Here is a 27,630-nt window from a genome sequence, read left to right as displayed (position 1 = left end):
TCCCAGCACTTTGGGAAGCCGAGGCGGGTGGATCACCTGAGGTCAGGAGTTCGAGGCTAGCCTGGCCAACATGGTGAAACCCTGTCTCTACTAAAAATACAAAAATTAGCCAGGCATGGTGGTGCAATCCTGTAATCCCAGCTACTCGGGAGGCTGAGGCAGGAAAATCACTGGAACCCGGGAGGCAGAGGTTGCAGTGAGCTGAGATTGTGCCATTGCACTCCAGCCTGGGCTACAAGAGCGAAACTCTGTCTCAAAAAAAAAAAAAGTTAAAATGGTAAATCTTATATTGTATATTATGTTAGATATTTTATCACAATAAAAAAGGGTGGAGAAGGAGACCCAGGCTTTGGAAATCTCTCTTCCTCTTTTCCCCCTCTTCCTTCTATCCCCACCTCTCATATGCAAATCTCAGTTTCCCATGCCTTGATTATATAAGGTGAAATGAGCAAAAGTGCATGGCTCATAGTAGATGCTCAATAAAATAGGCATCCTGCCTCTCCCTCAGATTGTCTGTCAATGAAATTATGTGGATACCAGTTCAGTATCTTTCTCCTTTTCTTTATCTTGTCGAGTTTATGTTTTTCTTTTCTTTCTTTCTTTTTTTTTTTTAAAAAAAAAGTTTTTAAAATTATTTCTATCGAAAGAGAGCCTGGTTCTTTCAGAAAGCATTTTTTTGGCCTTCACTGAGATGTGTGAATTTCAGGCACAGGGTTGGGAGCAGGCTTTTAAAATGACCACTTGTTCAGAGAATGATTTCACTTGGAATTCAGTTCATAAAAAATAGCAGCAGAAAGCCAACAGAGAATCAACTCATTTGACCCTATTCCCAAAGACAGGGCAGCTTCTGATTGGCAGTTGCCACCACAAAGGCCGTGGGATGAAATTGAATGCTGGCATGTTTCGGGATTTCTTGAAGTCAGCTCAGAGTTAATATGAAACATTACCAAGGAAAACTAGGTTTTTCCGTCTCGCCTGCAAAAAGCATCATCAGGTAAACTCTTATTCCTAGGAGAGAAAGTGAAGGCCCAGGTACTTTAATAATTTCGATTTAGAGATTTAGAGCTGTGGAAAAGCTTTCTCCCCAAATTAAAGAAGACTCTAATAAAATTTGTGCCCATAGTTAGGATTACAAAGGGACCAAATTGTACCTACACGCTTTTTTGATAGCTTACTCTCAATTATCTTATCTTACAGGAAATAAATAAGCCCAAAATATAGATTTAATTTGATTTGTTTTTCCCACCCCTTCCCAAAGAAAATTTAAAGTGGATAATAACATTATTTGGCTGGAGAGGCTCTGGGGATTTTTCTTTTCTTTTATTTATTTTCCAAATTTGGTGCGGGTATTTTCTTTCATAACAAAAAAGCATTACTATAGTATACAATGTGTTATTTAACATTGCTGAGATTAGCAGTTTTGATAAAGAGTTCTATTTGCATTTGCAGCTTTTCACTGAAAAAACCAGCTCTGGTCTGTATCTCAGACCATCATGCAATGCTTGCTATTTAACCACATGGCTCTATCTTACACCTGGTGGTGGATCGTGACCAAATTTTAAAGAAATTAACCAAGAGTTTCTTTGGTAATGTGTTTAGGAGGGATGGGCCTATAAAATAACGACAACAAACACGCATACCACTGTCTTTCCAGGACTGGATTAAGACCTTTAGAGAGCCGAACCTCTTAAAAAGATTATGCTGTTCCCATCCCTCTGTGATCCAAAATGCAATAAAAACAAGAGTAAACTATCCTCATTGCTATTGCTATTGAAGTGTACTGTTTGCTTTGCCTGGGCTTTGCCCAGGGTTAAATGGCACACATTGGAAGTCCAAGTCACGCTTCGGCCACCCAGGTGCTAAAATGAGACATGAGGCATGAAGACGTTGCTGGGCACTTCCACAGCTAAGCCTGCACTGAATGAAAACACGAAACCAAAGCAATTGATCCTGTATTTTCAATCATCCTACATGACCTAATTGGATCGACCATTTTAATGGAACGGTCTCATCAATTCGAGCAGCCAGTCAATTAAATCTAACAATCCATTTAACTGATCTCCTCCTGCCCCCCACAACACTAGCAACGATTTGAACGGATGGAATTCACAGGTTGTTTTCACATCATGTACACACGGCCTTAATGACGAAACTGGACCCGTGCCACTGCTGAGCTCATCGATTATACAGAAATCACTCCCTAATATGTGATCTCCCCACCTTCTTTCAAAATAAAATAAAATAAGAATCAAGTGGTCTGGTGGCCGAAGAGTGCCTTGGCCTGAGGCTGTGAGGATCACAGAACCCAGCCTTTAAATGTCTTAGTATGTCTAAGTCTTATGTCTTATTATGTTAATGTCTTGGTATGGCTGGGTGCGGTGGCTCACACCTGTAATCCCAGCACTTTGGGAGGATGAGGTGGGTGGATCACGTGGTCAGGAGTTCAAGACCAGCCTGGCCAACACTGGTGAAACCCCGTCTCTATGCAAAATACAAAAATTAGCTGGGCGTGGTGGCACACACCTGTAATCCCAGCTACTTGGGAGGCTGAGGCAGGAGAATGACTTGAACCAGAGAGGCACAGGTTGTAGTGAGCCAAGATAGTGCCACTGCATTCCAGCCTGGGCAAGAGAGCGAGATTCCATCAAAAAAAAAAAAAAAGTCTTAGTACGACTCCTGCCAAAATGGACTTGAGGCAGCAGACACCCACTCAGTACATTACAGGTCTCTGCATGCATTTCCATGGGTGTCTGAGCCTGTCAATGTGACCACAGGTTCCAGAAAATTCACAGCACTCTCCAGTATAAATATTCTGTCCTGTTTTCCCCATAAGTGTACCTCCCTGGGTCCTCATTTTTTTTATTTCAAAACTATGGTCACTGCAGCATTCAGAACTTTAACAGTCCCCTTCTGGCCGCCTACAAGGTCTCAAGTGCCCATTAAAACATGGTTATAGGGCTCTCTCATAAATTGCCAGAGTGTGTAAATTGATACAACTTCCATAGTAGGCAATTTGACAAAAATCTATCAAAATCACAAACACATATATCCTTTGTCCAGAAAGTCCACTTCTCAGAATTTGTCTCACATAGAAACATATTCTCAGACTTACGGAATAACCTAAATATAGGATTAGTCGTTACAGCTTTGGCTGTAATAGCAGAAGATTGCATGCTATGTCAATGTTCATCAGTCAGTCACTGGTAAAATGCAGTATCATAAATCCATACCACGAAATAATATACAGCCATCAAACGAGGAAACTCTATGCATTGATATGGATCAACCCTCCAGACAGAATATAAAATGTCTAAACTTCAAGATGAAAACAATATATATAGCAAGCTTCTATTTATTTATTTTTTAAAGGAAACACTTATTGATGCATTTGCTTTTTTATGCGTAATGTGGCTCTGGAAAAATGCACAGGAAATAGTGAATGCCTTAAGGGAGATCGCTGGTAGGCCAGGGGTTGGAGACTTACAGGAGTGGGAGGAAGACATTTGATCATAGTCTTCTTTTTTGCTTTGAATCTAGAAGCACAAAAAGCTTTAAATATTTAAAATTTTGTATTTTTTTTTTCAGTGGTTTGGCAAGCCTCCCAGGCCCCCAACATCCACTTAGACCCCAAGTCCCCAGTCTTCGTCTAAAGGCTATCTATCTATCTATCATCTATCTATCTGTCTCTCAGGTCTGGGTCTCTAGGTATACTTTTTTTTTCCTCTCTGGAGTCCTCCTTTCTCCCAGGACCTTTTGTGTCCATGACTAGGGGACAACTTGCCTGTCTGAAACACTTGAGCAACTCTCACTCACCTCACTCAACTAAGGTGCTTATGACCCCTCTGTGTCCAAGGCCCGATAGGGACAGTGAGGGGACCCCAGAGCCAGGCTTGACCTATCACACACCCTTAGGTGTTGGAAAGAACAGGCAGCTCCTCAGCTGTGTGTAGTAGACAAAGGGGAGGTTCAGTGTCTTCAGCTGTGCATGGCAGCCCCATTACTCCAGGCCTGTGTTCTCTTTTTTCCTTTTTTTCGATAGAGTTTCACTCTTGTTGCCCAGGCTGGACTGCAATGGCGCGATCTCAGCTCACCACAACCTCCGCCTCCCGGGTTCAAGTGATTCTCCTTCCTCAGCCTCCAGAGTAGTTGGGATTACAGGCGCATGCCACCAAGCCCAGCTAATTTTGTATTTTTAGTAGAGACGGGGTTTCTCCATGTTGGTCAGGCTGGTCTTGAACTCCCGACCTCAAGTGATCCACCCGCCTTGGCCTCCCAAAGTGCTAGGATTAAAGGCATGAGCCACAGTGCCCGGCTGTGTTCTCCTCTTTCTGACTTCTGGGATGGTCTCAGATCTGAAGCCCAGGACAAGAGCATTACAGGGTTTTATTGAGGAAGGTGTGAGGTAAGGCCTGAGGATCTTCCCACCTCCTCTTTCTTGTAGCTCAAAAAACTAATTTTCTTTCTTACTAAAAATATACTTAGTGATAGGATACATTCTTGCTGAGTGATAACCCCACTCTGTCTCATTCAATTAAAATAATAATGTGTTTTATTCATTCAGTTTTTCATTTATTTAGGCAAAACATCATGCAACAGCTAGTTATTTGGCAGAAAAAAACTGAAACTGACTCCCTCAAGTCTGGCAGCTGTGCAGACAATCATAGGAACAATAGGTGGCCGAGGTAACTTTGGGAATATGTCTCTGGCATTTGACAAAATTCGCTGTACCTTTCCATCTCCTATTCCAAATGTCAGTGATAAAGCCTAGTACCCTTCACAGAGCCTTCCTTTAAGGATGCACATATCGGCCAGGCACGGTGGCTCACGCCTGTAATCTCAGCACTTTGGGAGGCCAAGGCAGGTGGATCATTTGAGGTCAGGAGTTCAGGACCAGCCTGACCAACATGGTGAAACCATATCTCTACTAAAAATTCAAAAAATTAGCTGAGTGTGGTGGCACATGCTTGTGGTCCCAGCTACTCGGGAGGCTGAGGCAGGAGAATCGCTTGAATTTGGGAGGTGGAGGTTGCAGTGAACAGAGATTGCGCCACTGCACTCCAGCCTGGGCACTCCAGCATGGGCAACAGAGGGAGACTCGTGTCAAAAAAAAAAAAAAAAAAAGAATTCACATATCTGCTTTATCACAAATACATAATATCTAAAAGCATCCCATTCATTCATTCAACAAATATTTATTGAAATGCCATCGGCGCCAAGTGCTGCAGAAACAACAGCAAACAACAAAGGGCCCTGCTGTCATGGGGAGAAAGTCATAAACACATAAATCATAATCACATGGAGAAAAGTCTATGAAGAAAAATAAAACACATGCTTCTGAGTGATGAGTACCCAGCATTTTCTCCTTTTTGCCTTAGAAAGTACAAAAGGGAGAGAAAGAAACTAAGCCGTTGGCCATTCAACGACATCTAAATAAACCACACTGAACCAAACGCCTGGTAAATTCCTGGGTGCGAAAGTTTCGGTTTCCAGCAACACAGACTATTTCCGTGAAATGACAGGTTAATTCTGCTAACAACCGAGTTTGAAATGGACAATGGCTGTCAGTGGTCCAGGACAGACCTTTAGAGATTAATAAAATAAACAAAAGTCCCTACCAGTCTGAAGATAAATATTCTTCCAGATTTAAAAATATGCTAAACCTAGACAGCCAGGAATAAAGCAAGAAGGATAACAGGAATGAATGGAAGCCCTTCGCACAGAAATGGAAACCTGGGGAGTTGAGAAAGAGTGGTGTTATTAAAGCAAGCCTCCAAAGTCATTGCTGGTAAAAATAAACAAATAAATAAATAGCATCGTTTACAAAGAGAAGCAAAAAGTTGATGTTGTGTCCAGTGATCTATCCTGAGGTTAGGTAGAAGGTGCAGAATATAAAAAGGTGCCTGTTTATCCCATACTACACACAGCAGTATCAGAATAGCAATATCACACTCTAACACTTGGTGTAATTTATGAGAGTTGTTTAAAAAATGCTTTCATGCCGGGCACAGTGGCTCACAACACCTGTAATCCCAGCACTTTGGGAGGCCAAGGTGGGAGGATCACTTGGGGCCAGGAGTTTGAGAACTGCCTAGGCAACATAGCAACAACATCCAGTCTCTCCAAAAAAAAAAAGTTAGCCCAGCATAGTGGCGTGCACCTGTAGTCCCAGCTATTTGGGAGGCTGAGTTAGGAGGATTGCTTAAGCCCAGGAGTTCGAGGTTACAGTGAGTTATGAATCCACCATTGCATTCCAGCCTGGGCAACAGGTTGTCTCAAAAACAAACAAAAAAATGTCTTCATATGCTTTCCCATTTCCCCCGATTTTTGTGGTCATCCTATATCTGCATTGTCAGATCGTATAACCATCATATGCACTGTCCTGCCTCCGGTTTAGCCCTCATTTAATCTTAGCTCTAGAGTAACTATCAACCCCAGCCCTGTGTCACTGTCCTCTAGCCATTTTGCTTGTCTACAGCTAGTTCTTTCCAAGAGTCTGTAGGAAGGGGCTGTCTGAAAGATGTTACTCCATTTTTTTCTAGCATAAAACATCGTTGTCAAAAATCTGATGATAATCGAATTCACTTTCGGGGTCAGGTTCTTGCCCAAAGGATTTCTTTTCCTTTTTGTAAGCCCCCAAATTTTGCTAGAATATGTCTCAGTGTTGATCATTCTGGGTCAATATTCTCAGGAATATGGTAATTTTCAAAATGTAGTTGTTGTATTTCAGGAAAACTGTCTTGAGTTAGAGTTCTTAGTTCTATGCCATTGCTTTGCTTCTTGGGGGGAGACCACTATTGTGTTAGCTACCATCCACATAGACCCTGCGTCTTGGACTTCCCAGCATAGTCCCCACCCTCTCTCGCTCTTCCAGGCACTTACGTAGCACTTACTGACTGGGCTGTGGCACTCACTCCTCCATTTTTTTCTCTCATTCCCTGCTTTTTCTTTACTTCATGCACTTTTTTCTCTTCTCCCTAAAAAAGACCACAAATCCTTAAGAGCCAGTACATTGCCTTATTCATCTTTTCCGTATATCCAAAACTGTTCTCACCTACCACAGCTCTGAGTTCCTTGTAGATACTCATCAGATTTCTTGTAATTGAATCAAATAACCTCTGTGCCCTGAGACTCCCCCTGAGTGGCTCCCAGGGGACTGTAATAATCTGCCTCTTGCAGGAAAGTCGAGGACGTGATAGGGATCTGAAAGCAGAAAGCTCCTTTAAATTTTCAGTAGGTGGTTGGGAGCCCAATCACCGGCTGTACGGTCCCTGTAGGCCTTACCTAATCCGCTGTCATAATCCTGGATGAAATGCATAGGCTTATTCTGCTAAATCTGATTGCTTGGTTCAAAAAGTAATGCATAGCTTCATATATCACAATAACAAGGAGGAAAGGCCGTTAAAATATTTACTTATACTTGCTGGGCATGTGGTCATTTGGGTGTGATCCACTTTGCCTGCCTTACACACTTGCTTTGTTTAATAACATTTTTCTTAAAACAGAACTATTCCTGATTCTGTTGTTTATAAAGGAAATAATTTTCATGTACTATGATGAAGGCAGTCTCTTATTTTGTGTTTGACTGATATTCCATTGACGTATTCCAGACAATTAAAGTGATCTCCAAGGTAGTGGAGTAGCTTTTTACCTACTAGGTTTAAATAATTTTTAATCTTTTCTCATTTCTAATAAAATCAGATTTAGCATAATCATTCTCTTCCAAAATCATTTGTAGGCTAGAAGAGAGTTTTCAAATGTTCTTACTTGCAAAGCCCCCAAAAATATTTTCAAAAAAACATTTTTCAAAAAACTTTTACCATAGGTTTATATTATCACAAAAAAAAATCACTTCTAGTGTTTTCTATTTTATTACTATTTTTTAGGTAAAAGTGTTATATTATTTTTTAAAGGTTTTTTCTTCAACAGGCCAATCTAATAAATACTCAGCCATCTGTTGAGAGATAAGGAATCTTAGGATAGGCTTATGAAGCCCCAAAGAGTCTGGAATTGGACTGCCTGAATTCAAATCCTGCTCCTTCACTTCCCAGTTCTGTGATTTTAAGAAATTATATAACCCTTCTCTCTTCTGTTTCTGCACTTGTTAAAATAGCACTAATAAGAAGCACCTCATAGCATTTTTGTAAAATGGGATGAACTGACACACTCAATAAACGTGTGCCTGGCACAGAGCAAGTCATGAGTGGAAGTCAGAAGCACCTGCTACAGGTCCTCCCTCTTCTACACAGGCAGCCTTCGACATCTATACGGCATCCTCTGCAATCCTTTGAGTGTTCAATTTTTTTAGACTTTCTTGATAGTCTAAATTAATTTTAATAAAGAATTGGAATGCTGGGCAGGCATGGTGGCTCATACCTGTAATCCCAGCACTTTGGTAGGCCTAGGTGGGTGGATCACCTGAGGTCAGGAGTTCAAGACCAGCCTGACCAACATAGTGAAACGCCGTCTATACTATAAATACAAAAAAAATTAGCCAGGCGTGATGGCGGGCACCTATAATCCCAGCTGTTAGGGAGGCTGAGGGAGAAGAATCGCTCGAACCTGGGAGACAGAGGTTGCAGTGAGCCGAGATCACGCCATTGCACTCCAGCCTGGGCAACAAGAGCGAAACTCCGTCTCAAAAAACAAAAGAATTGGAATGCCACTGACACAATGCTTTAGGTTGTGGTGCTTATACCACCCTCAAATTTCTACCAAGACAAAGTCAACTCTGCAACATTCTATCAGAACAAGAACAGTTTTTCCAAACTGGCCATGGAAATGAGGAGTCCTTCAGTCTTACAGGAAGGGTAAAGACAATAAACTGTCAGTGATTCTAAAATCCTCGTGGTCCAGGATATTGTACTTCTTGCCATGAAATGGCAAGAAAATACATGCCTGAAATTCTGGTTTTGTTCTTCTTTACATAGATAGACATTCACTGACAACCTCATTAATAGTGATGCTGTGCCATTTCTTCTAAAAACTCATTTAGACAAATTATCCCTTTCAAGAGCAATAACAATGTTTATACATCCCCTTTCCTGACCAAATTTACTCAGGAATGTGAAAATCCTGATGTTATCCATTTGAAACACACTAATCGAACCATCCTGGTGCTGGCTCATAAAAGCAGAATGTTAAAATCAGTGGGCCAATTATGCTAAGTAAAATAAGCCAGTCACAAAAAGAGAAATATTGGGTGATTCCACTTGTATGAGGTACCTAGAGAGAGTCAAAAACTAGAATAGAAATTACCAGGGGCTGGGAGGTGTTTAATGGGTATATAGCTTCAGTTTTGCAAGATGAAAAAGTTTTGGAGATGGATGGTGGTAATAGTTACACAACAATGTGAATGTACTTAACACAACTGAACTATACACTTAAAGTGGCTGAGATGATAAATTCCATGTTATATGTGTTTCACCACAATCAAAAATAATATTAATAAAAACATTAGAAGGCCATAATCAACTCTACCCTCTTTCTGCAAGTTTGATACTCAACCAAATTGGTCAAGTCAGAAAATGTTAGAGGAAGTTGGTGCAGGTTTAGCTTTCTTCAAGTTAGATGAGTTTCTTTCTTCCATGCACCAAGTTCATTACTCAGCCAGACCCAAGGTCTTACAGTAAGCTGAAAAGTGAGGCCCTGGCATGTGGGGAAGAGAATCTGAAGTTACAACTGCTGGAAATTGTAGTTGTCTGTGTCTTTCATCGGATTGGATCGTCAGAAACCCAAACTTCGGGAGTAGGAGACGATGACGTTTCAGCAACACAGAATAAATAAGTGCCCTCCTGCAAGGCTGATCTGGGAAATGGGGCCCAACAGCTCTGCCCTTTCCTGTAGATCAAGGTGTGTGTGTTAGAGGTGTGGGGTATCACACGATTGCACAGGAAATGGGCCATGGGCACACACCATTTGAACAGGTCCTCCCTCCTTAGGGAACGCACAGAGATAAACACTCCATCACAGGAACAAGAACAACCTGGTGCACATCAGAGGGCAAAGAATAGCACCTGGACCCAGGCCCTCTACGGTCCTATGGGAGAGTAGGTTGAGACAACGTTTTGGAGGACAATTAGACAACATCCATATTTATTCTAAAACATAAAGATTCCATGATCTACAGGATACTACTTCTAAAAATTTATAGTATGGAAGAAAATAGTAATAAATATCTAATAATTTAGTTATAAGAATGGTGGGTGTGGCCAGGCACGGTGGTGCATGCCTGTAATCCCAGCACTTTGGGAGGCTGAGGTGGGTGGATCAGTTTGAGCTCAAAAGTTCAAGACCACCCTGGCCAACATGGTGAAACCCCATCTCTACTAAAAATACAAAAATTTGCCAGGTATGGTGGTGCAGGTCTATAATCCCAGCTACTCAGGAAGCTGAGGCATGAGAATTGCCTGAACCCGGGAGGCGGAGGCTACAGTGAGCCTAGATCGTGCCACTGTACTTCTCCAGTCTGGATGGCAGAGTAGGACTTCGTCTCTAAAAAAAAAATAAAAAAATAAAAAGTGGTGGGTGAAAGGGCCAGGCATAGTGGCTCATGCATGTAATTCCAGCACTTTGAGAGGCTAAAGCAGGCAGATTGCTTGAGGCCAGGAGTTTGAGACCAGCCTGGGCAACATGGCAAAACTTCGTCTCTACAAAAAATACAAAAATTAGCTGGGCACGATGGCATGCACCTGTAGTCCCAGCTACTTGGGAAGCTGAGATGGGAGGATCACATAAGCCTAGGGAAGCTGAGGATGCAATAAGCTGAGATCGTGCCAGTGTACTCCAGCCTGGGTGACAAAGAGACCCTGTCTCAAATTTAAAAAAAGAAAAAAGAAAAAAGAATGATACATGCAGAATTTTTATAACAAGTAACTCCTGGCTTTGGTTAAAATAAATTTTGAGACCGGGCGTAGTGGCTCATGCCTGTAATCCCAGCACTTTGGGAGGCCAAGGTGGGCAGATCACAAGGTCAGGAGTTCGAGACCAGCCTGGCCAATATGGTGAAACCCCTTTTCTACTAAAAATACAAAAAAAATATAGCCGGGTGTGGTGACACATGCCTATAATCCCAGCTACTCGGGAGGCTGAGGGAGGAGAATTGCTTGAACCTGGGAGGCAAAGGCTGCAGTGAGCCAAGATCGCTCCATTGCACTCCAGCCTGGGCAACAGAGTGAGACTCCATCTCAAAAAAATAAATACAAAAATAAATTTTGATATAGCCATATGATTCAATGTAAAGCCTTTTCTTAAAAAGTATCTTTATGATAATGTTTAACAGCATGGAAGATATTTATCCCATATCATTATACAAACAAAGCAGGTTACATAATAATTTGTTTAATAGGATTTTATTTTTAAAAGGTAAATACGTAGATAAATAGATATAGGTAGCTATCTGGAAACACAGGTAGCAAATTATTAAATATAGCTATTTCGCCAGGCGCGGTGGCTCACGCCTGTAATACCAGCACTTTGGGAGGCCGAGGCGGGCCGATCACGAGGTCAGGAGATTGAGACCATCCTGGCTAACACGGTGAAACCCCATCTCTACTAAAAATACAAAAAATTACCTGGGCGTGGTGGCGGACGCCTGTAGTCCCAGCTACTCGGGAGGCTGAGGCAGGAGAATGGCATGAACCCGGGAGGCGGAGCTTGCAGTGAGCCGAGATGGCGCCACTGCACTCCAGCCTGGGTGACAGAGAGAGACTCTGTCTCAAAACAAACAAACAAATAAATAAATAATTATAGCTATTTCATGGATGATGAGATTACTGCTGATTTTTATTGTCATATGTTTGCTTCAGTGAATTTTCACTTATAGATCTATGTTATTTTTGAATAGTGAAAATAAGTTTTCTTAACAAATAAGATACATACTATACATATGTGTTTAGTATGTGTATGAATTTTCAGCCAAGCAGCATTGTATTTACACAGTGGTTCTCAAATGACAGCTCATAGCCTCTGGCCATCCGCAAGACAACTTGCAGGAAGTCTGTGAAATCCAAACTATTCTCAAAATAGTTTTTTCCTACCCCTGTAGATATCATTATTACTTAAAAAACTACAAATTATCGTGATTAGGACTTGAGTAAGTGTTAGACACATTCTTGAAAATGAACAAAGTGAGGCTGTCACTTCAAGGAAAACAATTGGCAGCATTTGTTGCCAAAGATAAAATACACGCTTTCAAATAAAAATCAGAATTGTATCAGCCACCATGAACTTAACAGCTTGCAATACTTTGAAGATTTTTCTGATGATATGAGGGGCAATATTAATGAATCTGATTGTTTTATATTATATTAAAGATGGACTGTTATTTGGAAAAGCTACATAACTCAGTGAACCAGTCTTTTTCAAATGGCCCATACAAACTGAAGAATCATGTGTGGGTTAAAGATTTATTCAATGTGCAAGGCAGACCAATGAATTTTAATGTAACAGGTCACAAAAGTTCATTAATATGGTTTCAGATTCCACATTGCAACTAACCTTTAAGTAATTACTACTTAAACGTATGGCAATTACTCAAAAAACTAAAAATAAAATTACCACACAATCTTAGCAATTCTGCTTCTGGGTGTATAACCAAAAGAAGTAAAAGCAGGGACTCAATCAGGCATTTGTGCAACTATCTTCACAGCAGCAATATTCACAATAACCAAAAAGTGGATGCAACCCAAGTGTCTTTGAAGGAATAAATGAATGAATGAATGAATGAACAAAATGTGGTATATACATGTAATTGGGATATTATTCAGCCTTAAAAAGGAAGGAAATTTGGACACATTCTACAACATGGATGAACCTTGAAGACATTATGCTAAGTGAAATAAACAAGTCACAAAAAGATAAATACTGTATGATTCCACTCGTATGAAGTACATAGAACAGTCACGTTCATAGAAACAGAAAGTAGAACGGAAATTGCCAGGAACTGGGGGAAGTCAGGAATGGAGAGTTGTTGTTTAATGGATACAGTGTTTCAGTTTAGCAAGACAAAAAGAGTTCTGGAGATGATGGTGACGATTGACAGCGATGTGAATGTTCACTTAAAAATGGTGAAGAAGGCCGGGTGCGGTGGCTCACACTTGTAATCCCAGCACTTTGGGAGGCCGAGGTGGGGTAATCACAAGGTCAGGAGATCAAGACCATCCTGGCCAACATGGTGAAACCCTGTCTCTACTAAAATCCAAAAAAAAAAAATTAGCCGGGCAAGGTGGCGCATGCCTGTAGTCCCAGCTACTGGACTACAGGCTGAGTCAGGGAATCGCTTGAACCCGGGAGGTGGCGGTTGCAGTGAGCTGAGATCACTGCACTCCATCCAGCCTGCTGACAGAGCGAGACTATGCCTCAAAAAAAAAAAAAAAAAACGGTGAAGAAGAAAAGAAGAAGAAGGAAGAGGAGGAGAATGGAGGGAGAGAGGAAGGAAGGGAGGAAGGGAAGGAGGGAGGAAAGAAAAGAAAGATCAAACAAACGATTTGTCAAGTTTGGGTATCACATCAAAGAAAAATATATACAATTATCTGAAAGGCTATTAAAATACTCTTCGTCTTTCCAACCATATATTTGTGTGTGGCCAGATTCTCTTCATGTACTTCTACCAAACAACGTATTACAACAAATTACATGCAGAATCAGATATAAAAATTCAGCTGTCTTCCATCTAACAAGCCAGACACAAAAGAGATTTGCCAAAAGGTAAAGCACTGACACTCTTCCTGCTATATATTCTTTTGTTTGAGAAAATATAATTATTTTCCATAATATGTTGTTATGTTAATATATAGTGGTTTTATTATTTTTAAATAGATTAATAATAATTTTTAACATGATTCTCAGTTCTAACTTCTAAAATATGATTAATGTCAGTAGATATAGCCCACATAAACAACAGCACTTGGTGGGTTTCAGTACTTTTCAAGAGTATAAAGTGTCCTGAGACCAAAAGAATCTCTGATTTAGCACGTAGTAAACCCTCAATAAACATTTGTTAAATGCTGCTCCTCTTCCCCCTTCCTCATTGGGAGTGTACCCTACAGGATAAGAAGTCAGAACTTCTCAGTCTCCATGCTTATCAATACATTACATTTCTCAAAAAATCTGCAGGAGATTTGTCTCACGCCCTGGGTCCCCTCCCAGCAGCATGTGCTGGGAATCTTGCTCTGTCCTGTTTGTCAAAAACACAGATCCTACTCTCTTAATAACCATTTGCCAAAAGTGTTGTCAAACAACTAACTGCACATAATTGAGCTTCTGAAAGAACATGCCCTCTGGTGAGTTTAAAAGAAATGTTACAAATTAAGATAATAGATGATTATGTGAAACATACATCAAAATTGTCAGAAGGCTGCTATCTCAAAAATTATGAACTTGGCAAATGGATATAGGTGGTTCCATGACTGTCCATTGAGCTTTCCCTCTTGATTCCTTTATCCAGGCATTTGCTGCCTCAGAAGTTGTTCTAATTCATATTGCTTTTCATTATAAGCCTGGACTTGTACAAAGGAGTGATTAATTAAAAAAAAATTCTCATTATTTGAGATACATTCCTGAAGTTTATAACAAAAACAACCAAACAGATGGAAGGGCTGGAGACCCAGCTGCCAGAGGAAGTGTGTTCCTGTCTCTTTTGATCCATGAAATTGATGGGATGATCATTAGTGGGGGAGTAAATAATAAGGACTCTCCTGGCTGAATCTTAGATATCTCTGTGAGCGCAATACTGAGCTTTCCTAGCAACGGAGCACACCGACTCACCTTTTGCAGCACACATTCTTGATGCTCTGCACATGGGCCAGAATAGCTTCTGCCAATCCGCACCCTGGCTCTTTTCCTTTGGGTTCTGTCTGACCACTGGAGGCCACACAGGCAAAGTGAGGACAAGCCTGGGAGGTAATGCCTCTTGGGAAAATCCCTCCACCAATAGCTTGCAACAGCTGAGAGATGAATGATTCAGCTCCCTTTTCCCTTGGATGGCATAATTCTGGAATTTACTCTACACTGTCTCTGGGGGTTCCCCAGAGATACTGAGCCTAGTTGGTCACAGGGGCCATCTGCTCAATAACGCATATTTTATTGGCTTCCTTCGACATTTCAATTTTCCACTTCCCTTCTGGTGTTTCCCAGGATCGCCTCCCAAATAAACTGTTGCACTAAAATCTCTGTCTCAGGGACTGCTTCCGGGAAACCCAAGCTATGACTGGATTTTACATGTCAAAAGTTGAACCTTCAATCACCCTTTTTAAAAATTTTTTGTTGGCTGCCTTGGAGCAGTGAGTGCGTTCTTACAAACTGAGGATCCTGCTCCCAGCACCCTGCACCTTCTCTTTGGGGGAACCCAACTCTTCCTAAAACATAGTATAGTCTGACAAGAAGCAATAAAGCTCTTTTTTTTTCTCAGAATAATATCAGGGCACGTTTTCACTGTCCGCCCACTACCTGCCAGCTGTATTCCATTTTCAGCACCTACAGGGTCCTCAGGCAGAACCGAAGGAAGGCTGGTTCTCACCAGGGTGAAAGAGGAGAAAATGCAGCTGGGCTGGGCTGAGCAGGCAGCTGCCTCCACGCCAGCAGCCCCTCACCCAGCTGGGTGGTCACATTCCTGCCCTGCTTCTCCACACGGCCACTCTCCTGGTCACCGAGTATTTGCATGGGCTATGCCCCCAGTTATCTCTGTCCCTTGATCTCGGTTTGCTTTTCTGGCCTCTGACCCCTCTGTTGGCCAAAACTTCAACTGTTATCACGCTCTTTTGTCCTAGTCACTGCTCTGTCCTGGCCATCTCAACTGACTGTCAACAGTACAGGCACAGAATGGGAGGGGATGAGGGGGAGAATTTCATTTGGTCAATTGAGTGGTTAAAAGAAAAAAGGTTGCTTTTATTATTTTTTTTTCTTTTTAAGCAAGTAACTTGTTTAACTTGCATTGACCAACCATTTGACCTAATCGACTCTTCAGTTCCAATGGTCAGGCTGATAGAAGTAGGTAAATAAATGAGAAAGAGCCCAACAGTTCAAGGCCTCCTGGCTTTTCCTCCTACTTCCGATCTGAAAGTAAGAGATTCTGCAATGAAAAAACCAAGTTTCTAAGCTTGGAAGGGAGGGCGGCCTGGCACTGTTTATTTCATGAGAGAGTCGTGGTTGAGAAAACAGAAATTCTCATGCCGAACTTACCTTCTTTGAAGTTTTAAAAACGTTCCGTAGAAAGCAAAAACATTCTAACATTTTTGTTTAGAAAACAAAAATAAATTCCTCCCTAAGGCATCCATGCTTTGGTTCGTATATTAGGCCTTCACAAATTATCTCATCAAGAATATAAACATGTCATTCTGAATGAAATGAAGCCAATTCAAATTCCTGGTTAAAAAGAACATCAGCTAGGCATGATGGCTTATGCTGGTAGTCCCAGCTACTTGGGAGAGTGAGTAAGGAAATCCTGAGCCCAGCAGTTGGAGGCTGTAGCAAACTATGATGGTGCCTATGACCTGCGCTCCATAGACAGTGGCAACATAGAGAGATCTCATCCCTAAAATATAAAGTAAAATAATAACAAAGAAAAGCCTACCTGCACTAAGAGTGAAAGGCAAAAAATGGAGGACATGGCTAGCATTTCATTGTTCCCCCGAAACACACGCACACATATATGTACACATATTTACATGCTTCCCATGTATACTCATAAACAAGGTTCATATTGTCAGTGATCTATAAAAAAATGAAGAACTTGCCAAAAAGAAAAGAACCAGAAAATACTTGACAATTATATTTTGGCTGGACGCAGTGGCTCATGCCTGTAATCCCAGCACTTTGGGAGGCTGAGGTGGGCGGATCACCTGAGGTCAGGAGTTCGAGACCAGCCTGGCCTACATAGTGAAACCCTGTCTCTACTAAAAATACAAAAATTAGCTGGGCATGATGGCAATCCCCACTACTCGGGAGGCTGAGGCAGGAGAATCGCTTGAGCCCGGGAGGCAGAGGTTGCAGTGAGCAGAGATTGAGTCACTGTACACCAGCCTGGGCAACAGAACGAGACTCTGTTTCAAAAAAAAAAAAAAAAAAAGAAAAGAAAAAGAAAAAAAAAGGAGGACATGGCTAGCATTTCATTGATCCCTCAACACAAATACACACATATATGTACACATATGTACATCCTTCCCATATATAGTCACAAACAAGGTTCACATGTCAGTGACCAAAAAAAAATAATAATAATAAAAATCAAGGACTTGTCAAAAACAAAAGAAACAGAAATTACTTGAAAATTATAATATCTTCGCTGGGTGCGGTGGCTCACGCCTGTAATCCCAGCACTTTGGGAAGCTGAGGCGGGTGGATCACCTGAGGTCAGGAGTTTGAGACCAGCCTAGCCAACATGGAGAGACCCTATCTCTACTAAAAATTCTACAGAAATTAGCTGGGTATGGTGGTGCGTGCCTGTAATCCCAGCTGTCAGGAGGCTGAGGCAGGAGAATCACTTGAACCCGGGAGACAGAGATTGCAGTGAGTCGAGATCATGCTACTGCATTCCAGCCTGGGCGACAGAGCAAAACTCTGTCTCAAAAAACAAGAAAAAAGAAAAAGAAAATTATAGCATCCTTTAGTTACGTCTATGTAAAAACATTGGCATTCTATCTGATGGGATAGGGCTCAGGCAATATTTTTCATTCTCTCTTTTCCCAATAATGAAAATAAAAGCATCTAAAAACCCTGAATATAAAACCAGATTGATTGTTTTAACAAAAAGATTAATCGGCCAGGTGCGGTGGCTCACCCCTGTAATCCCAGCACTTTGGGAGGCTAAGGCAGGCAGATCACGAGGTCAGGAGATCAAGACCATCCTGGCTAACACGGTGAAATCCTGTCTCTACTAAAAATACAAAAAATTTAGCCAGGCCTGGTGACAGGAGCCTGTAGTCCCAGCTACTCGGGAGGCTGAGGCAGAAGAATGGCAGGAACCTGGGAGGTGGAGCTTGCAGTGAGCCAAGATTGCACCACTGCACTCTAGCCTGGGTGACAGAGTGAGACTCCGTCTCAAAAAAAAAAAAAAAAAAAAAAAAGATTAATCAATAGAACCCAAGTGTTTGAGTAATTTTTAAAAAAAATTTGTATCACTATTTCATTTTTTCTGAAAAGTAATTTAATAACACATATTAAAAGCCTTAAAAATTTTATTCTGTTTGACCTAGAAATTGGAATTTTATAAATCTATACTAAAAAATTTTCCAAAATTCAGACCCAGTTTTATGCTCAAATTATCCACTAAAGTACTGATCATAATAACGTGAACCTGGAAGCAACTTACATTCTAATTATAGAATTGGACATAAAAGCAAATTATGGTATATTCATGCTGTAGAATACACCACATTCTATATTTGCTCATCAAAAGTATCCTAAAAATGGTAATGCTTTAAAAATAACATCAACTAAAAATAAGATATAAACCTGTATGTTTGGTGTAATTTTGACTATGAGAAGTGTATATATATATGTATATATATGCATGTATTTATACACAAATACATATATGTTTCTAACATTTACAGGAGGTATGTGTGTGTGTGTGTGTGTGTGTGTGTGTATGCTTTTGCAAGAGACAGATTATTACTCTTACATTTAGTAAACACATATTATTTCCAAATGCATCCATGCATAAACCACTCCATCATACCTGCTCAATCAGTTCAATTAGAACAAACTAACCACACTCTCAGGCTGCCAGGACCTCCAAAAGTTTCCAGAATGAGATTGTCACCTGGTACTCTATATTCTTGGATAATCAGGATGAGCACAAACATTTATAGGAATTAGTCACAACACCAAATTTTCCAGTTTTCTTACAGCATACAATTAAATACTCTGTGCACCATACAAATTAAGACTCCATTTATTTGGAATTAGAAATAATCTCATTCTGCAGACTAGGTCAGACTCCCCCTAATGCACATACCCAGGACATCTCCCGTACGGCATTTATCACAATGTGACTCTCACATCCACTTCTTTGTTTAGAGCCCGTCTTCCCTCATGCGTGAGAGCAGAAGCGGTATCTGTTTTGTGCCTCCCTCTATCCCTAGCCTCAGCACCAAATGGGATAGCAGATGTCAGCAATCCCCAGCTCTGTGTCATCATGCCTCACCTTTGGGTTCACCTGCCGGGAAGGAGGACAGGTCCCAGCAAACCAATGGCCTCCTACCTCAAGTCTCTGCCTCTTTCTATTTAGGAATTTGCTGGAGATACGCAGACACATTAATGTCTCCAGGGGTTCATCTCAACCAATGAGGGGCAGGAAGTAATGCCCCACCCCACCCCCATCTTCTTTATGGACAATTCTCCAGACGCTCCACATGTTTTCTCAGAGTGTCCACAGCAGGACGGAGCCCTCCTCCTTAACACGACCTTCGTGGGCTCTCTGTCCTTCCTTGTCTCACTTTTCTCCTCCCTCATTCGTGCATCCTGGGGTGACCTCACAAATAAACTACCTGAACCCCCATTCCTTTCCTCAGGCTCTGCTTAGAGGTAAGCCCGACTGAGACCTGTGGTTCCTAGTAGGTTTTTGTTTTTTTGTTTTCTTTTTTGAGACGGAGTCTCGCTCTGTTGCCCAGGCTAGAGTGCAATGGTGCGATCCCAGCTCACTGCAACCTCCGCCTCCCAGGTTCAAGTGATCTCCTGTCTCAGGCTCCTAAGTAGCTGGAATTACAGGCACCCACCACTGCACCCGGCTAATTTTTGTATTTTTAGTAGAGACGGGTTTTCGCCATGTTGGTCAGGTTGGTCTCGAACTCCCAACCTCAGGTGATCCACCCGCCTCGGGCTCCCAAAGTGCTGGTATTACAGGCGTGAGCCACCACGCCCGGCCAGTTCCTAGTAGGTTTTTGATCAATACCCTTTGAACAGGTGGATGAGTGACTAAACTCTCACTGTGCCTCATCTGGGGCTAACAGTATGTAGTGAACCATTTTCTCATAAATAGTTTGAAAGTATTACAATAAATAAACCTATGAGAGGAATCAATAAACCAAATTTGATGGCAAATTTGCGTCTTCTGATTTTTATAAAGCAATTATGTGCTATTAACAAGTTGTTTGCATGGCTAAATAAAGCAGGTCTCTGAGAATCTATGCCTTTGTATCACAGCCATATTTTTCAGGTAAAGGAAACCCTCATTGCATCCAGGAAGAAAGCTACCATTTTGAAGGGGTCCAGTAGTCACAAACTCCCTCATTTCTGAGCAAATAAAGGTCATGGATTAAACTAAATTTAGGGTAGAAACCAAATAGTTCATTTTTTGCTAGTTACACATCATTAGGAAAATATTCTCAGCTTCACTGTTCATGAGCCTCCTCGATTTTCCTGATGGCTCCTTTCAACATCTGGGAACAGCTGGACGAGCTCGCTGTGCTGCCGTCGGTCCTTGTATGGCCCAGAGTAAACAATCATCAGGACACTGATTAATTTCTCAAGACTTTAAAATAATTAAGGTAACAATCATCCCTCACCCACACACTCCCCCATTTTTACAACCATTTAGGAGGGAGGTGGCAGAGGGCAGCCATAACATTCAGCCCAGAGTTCCCATTACTGCCCTGTAGCTTGTAGTAACGTGCACTCTTGACAGTCATCAGGGGAAAAGGTCCTCTGGCCTCCTGCACCTCAAAGGGAGGAATAAAACCCTTAGCCCCATGTAAACCCTGGAGAGTTGTTCACCCCAATCAGTGTAAGGCACTTCTGCCTCTACTTTGTGAATTAAGAGAGATCAGTATGACTGTGAGTTTCTCCTTAAGGGGAGAATTTACCAGTGTGAACCCATACAAAAGAATATTTAAGAGTGTACACCCAAAAGAACGGAAAGCAAGGTCTCAGATGATTACATGCCCATGTTCATAGCAGTAATACGCACAGTAGCCAAAGGTGGAAGCACTGCAAATGTCCATCAGTGAATGAACGAATAAACAAAACATGGCATATGCATGGAGGGAATGTTTATCAGCTTTACAAAGGAAAAAGGCCAGGGGCAGGGGCTCATGCCTGGAATCCCAGCACTTTGGGAGGCTGAGGCAGAAGGATAGCTTAAGCCCAGGAATTCAGACCAGCCTGGGCAACATAGTGAGACCCCGTATCTACAAAAAAATACAAATACAAATAAAAATAAATAGCTGGACATGGTGGTTCACAACTGTAGTCCCAGCTACTCAAGAGGCTGAGGTGAGAGGATTGCTTGAGCCCAGGAGGTTGAGGCTGCAGTGAGCCATGATCATACCACTGCACCCCAGCCTGGGTGACAAAGTGAGACACTGTCTCAAAATAAATAAATAAATAAATAAGCTGTTCAAGGTTTCTGGGACAGAATGCAGATCCAGGGCCTACAGAAAGCAATGATGGATCCCTGAGCATCAGGAATGCATTCACTTTTTCCTCGGTTCTTTGAGACCCTCCCTGAAATCCTCCCACCAGTTATGCCCTGGTTTCTTGTTTCTCCTCTGGCTTCAATTCCACTTTGCAAGCATAGCCTTCCTGACCTCTCTAAGCCACCTGCCTGCTCCTAGTCATGGTAGAGTGCTAACTCCTCCACTGCTTGGCCCTATCCTTTGGGCCTCTTGCTTGGCTCTTGATTACGTATGAACTGTGGACTTGCCCCCACTGTTGTACTGAGTATTAATTTCTGGTATTATGACTGTATTGTAGTGGAAGGGTGATATGGTTAGGCTTTGAGTCCCCACCCAAATCTCATCTTGAATTGTAATCACCTTAATCCCCATGTGTCAAGGGAGAGGCCAAGTGGAGGTAACTGAATCCTGGGGGTGGTTACCCCGTGCTGTTTTCATGATAATGAATGAATTCTCACAAGATCTGATGGTTTTATATGGGGCTCTTCCCCCTTCACTTGGCAATTATCCTTCCTGCTGCTTTGTGAAGAAGGTGCATTGCTTCCTCTTCACCTTCTGCCATGATTGTAAGTTTCCTGAGGCCTCCCCAGCCATGCTGAGCTCTGAATCAATTCAACCTCTTTCCTTTATAAATTACTCAGTCTCTGGCAATTCTTCATAGCAGTATGAAAAGGGACTAATACAAAGGGTCTCTAGACAAAGAATCAAGAGACCTGTGTTTCAGCAGCTCTGACTTCATGTCCTCTCCACCACCCTTCTTCCCACATCTCTGGACCTCGGTTCCTCCATCTGCAAAGTCGAGGAGGAGGCTCTGGGATCTCCAAGGGCTTTTCAAGTTCTAACATCTTATCCTCTTGCCCTGTTCCTCCAAAGAGTACACAAATACCTGAGTGGATGACCAGGAGCATGTGCCACTCTATAACCCCCCGGAGATTCCCATATGGTTGGCACCAACTAGTTGATGGGCTAAAGTTTACTTACAGAGCTGATGAAAGCACATTCAAGGACTTTCAAATGAAGGTAATGTTACAGGTCTGACTTATGAAAAGGCAGCACTTGGGTTGTGGCTACACAGTGCTCCAGCTCAGCCCATTCAAACTCCCCAGTTCAGGAAAAAAATCTAATGTTCTTATTTAATTCCAAAGAAATTCCATCAGTCAATACTGTGGTTTCGTTTAGTGAATTCACATGGGCTGTGGGGGATGGGGAATTAGTGAACGAGTCATTTGATGCAATAGAGATCAAGTAGCTGGTTGGTTTGATGCAATTGTCTTCTCTTATTGTAGATATTCATAATGGCATCATGAATATTCCAAACCCAGTTAATTTTAGAATGCATTAAGTTATAACTGAAAACACGAAGGGATTATTGACTTGACAAATGAAGACCAATTGTCTTTGGCAGTAGAGCTTTGAAGCAAATCTGGAAAATAAGCTACTATGGTTTGAATATTTATCTCCTCCAAAACTCATGTTGAAATTAAATTCCCAATGTGACAATATTGAGAGGTGGAGCCTTTCAGACATGATTGGGTCACGAGGACTCTACTCCCATAAATGGATTAATTCATTCATGGGTTTATGCATTAATAGGCTAATGGATTGATGGGTTATCATGGTAGTGGGACTGTGGGCTTTACAAGAAGAGGAAGAGAGACCTGAGCTGGCACGCTTAGCCCAGTCGCCATGTGATGCCCTGCACCTCCTTGGAACTCTGCAGAGTCCCCACCAACAAGAAGACCCTAGCCTGATGCAGCCCTCGATCTTGGATGTCTCAGCCTCCATAATTACGATAAATAAATTCATTTTCTTTATAAAATACCCAGTTTCAGGTATTCCATTATAAGCAACACAGGCCAAAATTTCTACCCTTTCCAATGCACTCAGCAGGTTTGCATTTGTATTGTGAGCTCATTGGAGGAAAATAAACCAGGGGGTGAGGGGCCTCCTTTGGATGGGGTGGTCAAGAAGGGCCTCTTGGAGACCTAAAGAATGAGAATGTATTGCTTCAGGCAGGATACAAAGGAGAAACAAAATCCTGGAGACAGAAAAGGACTTAACCTGCTCAAGAATCAAGAAGACATACCTGTCAAGAGATTAGGAGCAAAGGGGGAGGCATGCAAAATGAGGCTGAAGAGGCTGAGGGATCTACAACATAGGGCCATCAAGGTGACCACACAAGGTTCAGATTTGACTCTAAGTGTAATGGGAATGCATTGAAGTCAAAGAGTGACATGATCCTATTTCTATTTCAAAAATATTGCTGTGGCTATATTGTGGCAATTGCACACATATTAGCAGGCCTGCTTAGCTCTACTAAGTTCAGTGTTTTCTAAACAAGTTTGATCCTGGAACCGTTTTTCTTCCCAGAGAGCATGTTGAAGTTTTATGATTCCATTCAGATAGGACACAGCATAGAGCATAGTATAGGGTAGATCATTAGTTTCCCAAAGAACTTTTTTTTTTTTTTTTGGGACAGAGTCTCGCTCTGTCACCCAGGCTGGAGTGCAATGGCATGGTCTTGACTCACTGCAACCTCCGCCTTCCGGGTTCAAGCCATTCTGCTGCCTCAGCCTCCCAAGTAGCTGGGACTACAGGTGCATGTCACCACACCTGGCTAATATTTTCAGTTTTAGTAGTAGAGATGGGGTTTCACAATGGATATGCCTATATATAAGAATCCTTAGTGTTTAAACATTTAAATGTCTAGCAAAGTGAAAGATAATCTGTTCCTCAGAGGCAATCACTAGAATATATCATTCCAATATTTTTACGTGTTTTAAATCACTGAGATAACAATAAAAATTTAATTTTGTATCTTACTTTTTTCACTTGCTACTAGAGCAGAACCACTTTTCTCCATGTAGCTATTGCTTGCAAAGAGAGAAAACAGTGACTTGAAGTCTTCATAAAGATTACAACCTTTGAATCTGTATCCATTCTACTGATTCTATTTATATCTAGACTAAAAAAAAATTCCGGCTGGGTGCAGTGGCTCACGCTTGTAATCCCAGCACTTTGGGAGGCCAAGGCAGGTGGATCACAAGGTCAGGAGTTCAAGACCGGCCTGACCAACATGGTGAAACCCGTCTCTACTAAAAATACAAAAATTAGCCGAGCGTGGTGGCCGGCACCTGTAATCCCAGCTACTCGGGAGGCTGAGGCAGAAGAATTGCTTGAACCCGGGAGACAGAGGTTGCAGTGAGCCAAGAGCGTGCCATTGCATTCCAGCCTGGGTGACAGAGCTAGATTCCGTCTCAAAAAAAGAAAAAATTCCAAAATAGAAAAGTATGTATACATTTTCATTAAAACATGATTTAAAGTAGTAAAAAATTGGAAACATCCAGAATTTCAAATAGAGGAAGGGCCAAATTATGATAAATCCATAAGATGAACTACCTTGAAGTCATTAAAAATTCTGTTTCCTTGGCTGTGAAATGAGTTGAAAGAAAATAAAATTTAAAAAATTATGTTTTCTGCAAATGTTTACTGGTAAAGGGTAATAATTTACACTGTAATGTTAAATAAATAAAACAATAGGCTGGGCGAGGTGGCTCACACTTGTAATCCCAGCCCTTTGGGAGGCCTAGGTGGGTGGATCACAAGGTCAGGATTTCGAGACCAGCCTGGCCAATACGATGAAACTCTGTCTGTACTAAAAATACAAAAAATAGCAGGGCATAGTGGCAGGTGCCTGTAGTCCCAGCTACTTGAGAGGCTGAGGCAGGAGAATTGCTTGAACCCAGGAGGCAGAGGTTGCAGTAAGCCGAGATCACGCCGCTGCGCTCCAGCGTGGGCGACAGAGTGAGACTCTGTCTCAAAAAAAAAAAATTAAAAAATAAAAAAATTTTAAAAAAAGCAAGACACAAACTATGTCTTCTTATCCAGTTTTATTATATACACATATAAATGCACATACAATTATACACAGAAAAAAAATTTGAAATATTACCCTAAAAGTGTTCATCATGATTATTTCCAGGTGGTAGGATTCCAGTGATTTTTACGTTCTCAGCATATTTCTCTATAATTTCTAAATTTCCTATAATAAGTAGGCGTTAATTATTTTTATCCAGAAGACGAAAGATATGATTTTTAGAAAGCCTCTTGATTGAGTTAATGCATAAAAATCATTAGAAATTTTTTTAAAACTTAGATAATTCTACTCTACATATGAATGATAGCTGTAAATAAATTATAATTGTGTGACAGTCCTTAATTAGGTGGAAATAGCGGTACTTGAAAAAAGTTTCTTGGGTAAAGTTTTAAAGCTTTGGATTCATAAATTCCAAGCTAAGTGCCAGAGCTGTCAGGCCCTTCATCAGTCACTGCGTATCCAGGCCAATTTCTGGATGACATTTTGAAATGTTATTCCACCAACTTTGGGATTGGCAATGATCAAGAAGATAAGGAATTGGATTTTACAAACTCTTCAGTTCAGAATTTATTTTTTTCAGAGACTTAAAATATTTCTATTCTCTAAAACAACACAGTCCAGCCCATTCACAGAACAGCAAGCAAAAAAATAAATAAAAATTTAAAAGATGGTAATGGTGCAGAAAGAGCTTGAATAGATGGCATAATCTGCAGTATAACTCTCAAGTAACAGCCCAGCCCACAAGGCCATGGGAGAGAGGAGAGGAGAGAAGACGGGAGGGGAGGAGAGGGGAGGGGAAGGGAGAGGAGGGGAGCATGGATGTCCAATCTTTTGGCTTCCCTGGGCCACATTAGAAGAAGAATTGTCTTGGGCCACACATAAAATACACTAACAATAATGATAGCTGATGAGCTAAAAAAAACAAAAAACAAAAAACAAAACAAAAAAAAAACCTGCAAAAAAATCTCATAATGTTTTAAGAAAGTTTACGAATTTGTGTTGAGCTGCATTCAAAGCTGTCCTGGGCCACATACGGCCCATGGGCTGCAGTTTGGATAAGCTTGGAAATAGAGGAACAGGATGGGGGTGAGCTGCCCATGAAGAATAAAGCAGCTCCAAGAGAAGACAACTGGCCCCAGGGATCCACTATTCTTGTCCATATTTGTTTTACCAGTTGAGGCAGAGTATTGTACTGGAAAAAAAGTAGACTTCAGAGCGAGACAGGAGTCTAAGCCCTGGTTCAGCTCCCTGGAAATTGCATAACTACTTTAGATATTTACCTCTGTGAGACTTCAGTCTGTGCATAATATGCTGATAAGAATTCTTACCCTGGTGGGCCAAACTGAACACACCTATGGGTGGGGCTGTGGGAGCAAGTGTGTTGCTGGGAGTAAGAACCTGGCTGGACACTTAGTCACTGCTTTGACTCCTGCCTTCTCAACTGTGCGACCTTGGACAAACGACTTAGCTGTCCTGGGCTGTACCATCTGCCTCTGTAGAACCACAGTTGTTGTTAATATCATTGCTGTTGTGGAAAGTCTGCAGGGAGAAATTGATGAAGCCCTCACCCAGAAGGAAATGATTGAGGAATGCCTCAAAGAGCCAGAAAATGTTTGTCAAGTAAACATTCATACTTTCAACACATATTTTGAGTGCCTACTATATTCTAGTCACTGTGTAGGTTCTGGGGACCCAGGATTGAACAAAAAAGCAACCTTTCTCTCAGGCTGTTTACATTCAGTTTGAGGAAGATGAACTTTAAACAATATGCTTAATGGCTGGAAAACACTATGAAGAAGAATAAATCAAAGGAAAACCTCAAATGTCCATTAACAGTGATGTGGATCAATCAAATATGGTTTATTCATGGAATGCAAAGCTCTACAGGAGAGAACAGGAAAGAACAACAGCTGCATACTCAACAAGCAGACGGCTGAGTGAAGGAGGCAGATACAAAAGAATATGATTGTAGCCTGGGCAACATGGAGAGATCACGTCTCTACAAAAGCAAAAATTAGCCCAGCATGGAGGTGCATACCTGTAGTCCCAGCTACTCCAGAGGCCAAAGTGGGAGGATTGCTTAAGCCCAAGAATTTGAGGCTGCAGTGAGCCATGATCATGCCACTGCACTACAGTCTGAGTGTCAGAGCAAGATCTAGTCTCTTAAAAAAAGTATATAAATATATGTGTGTGTGTGTGTATGTGTGTATATATATATGAGTGAGATATATATATGTATATATATGTGTGTGAGATATATATATGTATATATGTATATAAATTTTTAGAAAGAATATGATTGCAGTCATATAAAGTTGAAAAGCAGGCAAAACTAATCAGTGTTTAGGGATCCATATTTGAATG

The 27,630-nt window shown here is 41.5% G+C and overlaps 1 long non-coding RNA gene across 2 annotated transcripts, besides 1 other annotated feature; it reads right to left on the bottom strand.

The window, feature by feature from the left end:
• Positions 1 to 5,176: 5,176 nt before the first annotated feature.
• Positions 5,177 to 14,881, bottom strand: LROMI1 (lncRNA regulator of macrophage immunity 1). Of its 2 annotated transcripts, XR_007065630.1 has the most exons (4): positions 14,764 to 14,881; positions 11,571 to 11,708; positions 7,056 to 7,200; positions 5,177 to 6,974 (listed from the first exon to the last, which is right to left on the bottom strand). It is a non-coding gene; the product is annotated as a lncRNA regulator of macrophage immunity 1 (long non-coding RNA). The 2 variants fall into 2 exon arrangements; XR_007065629.1 differs by lacking the exon at positions 7,056 to 7,200.
• Positions 14,471 to 15,670: an enhancer, noted in NCBI's record as "P300/CBP strongly-dependent group 1 enhancer chr17:14276639-14277838 (GRCh37/hg19 assembly coordinates)". NCBI's record gives its function as "activates an origin of replication core promoter dependent on BRD2, BRD4, P300/CBP, MED14 and CDK7 cofactors, with strong dependence on P300/CBP, by STARR-seq in HCT116 cells {active_cell/tissue: HCT116}" and the evidence as "EXISTENCE:reporter gene assay evidence [ECO:0000049][PMID:35650434]".

This window comes from Homo sapiens, chromosome 17 (assembly GCF_000001405.40).
Source record: "Homo sapiens chromosome 17, GRCh38.p14 Primary Assembly".
Classification (NCBI taxonomy): Eukaryota; Metazoa; Chordata; class Mammalia; order Primates; family Hominidae; genus Homo; species Homo sapiens.
Note: the sequence above shows the minus strand (reverse complement) of the source record. Positions and strands in the feature narration are given on the sequence as shown.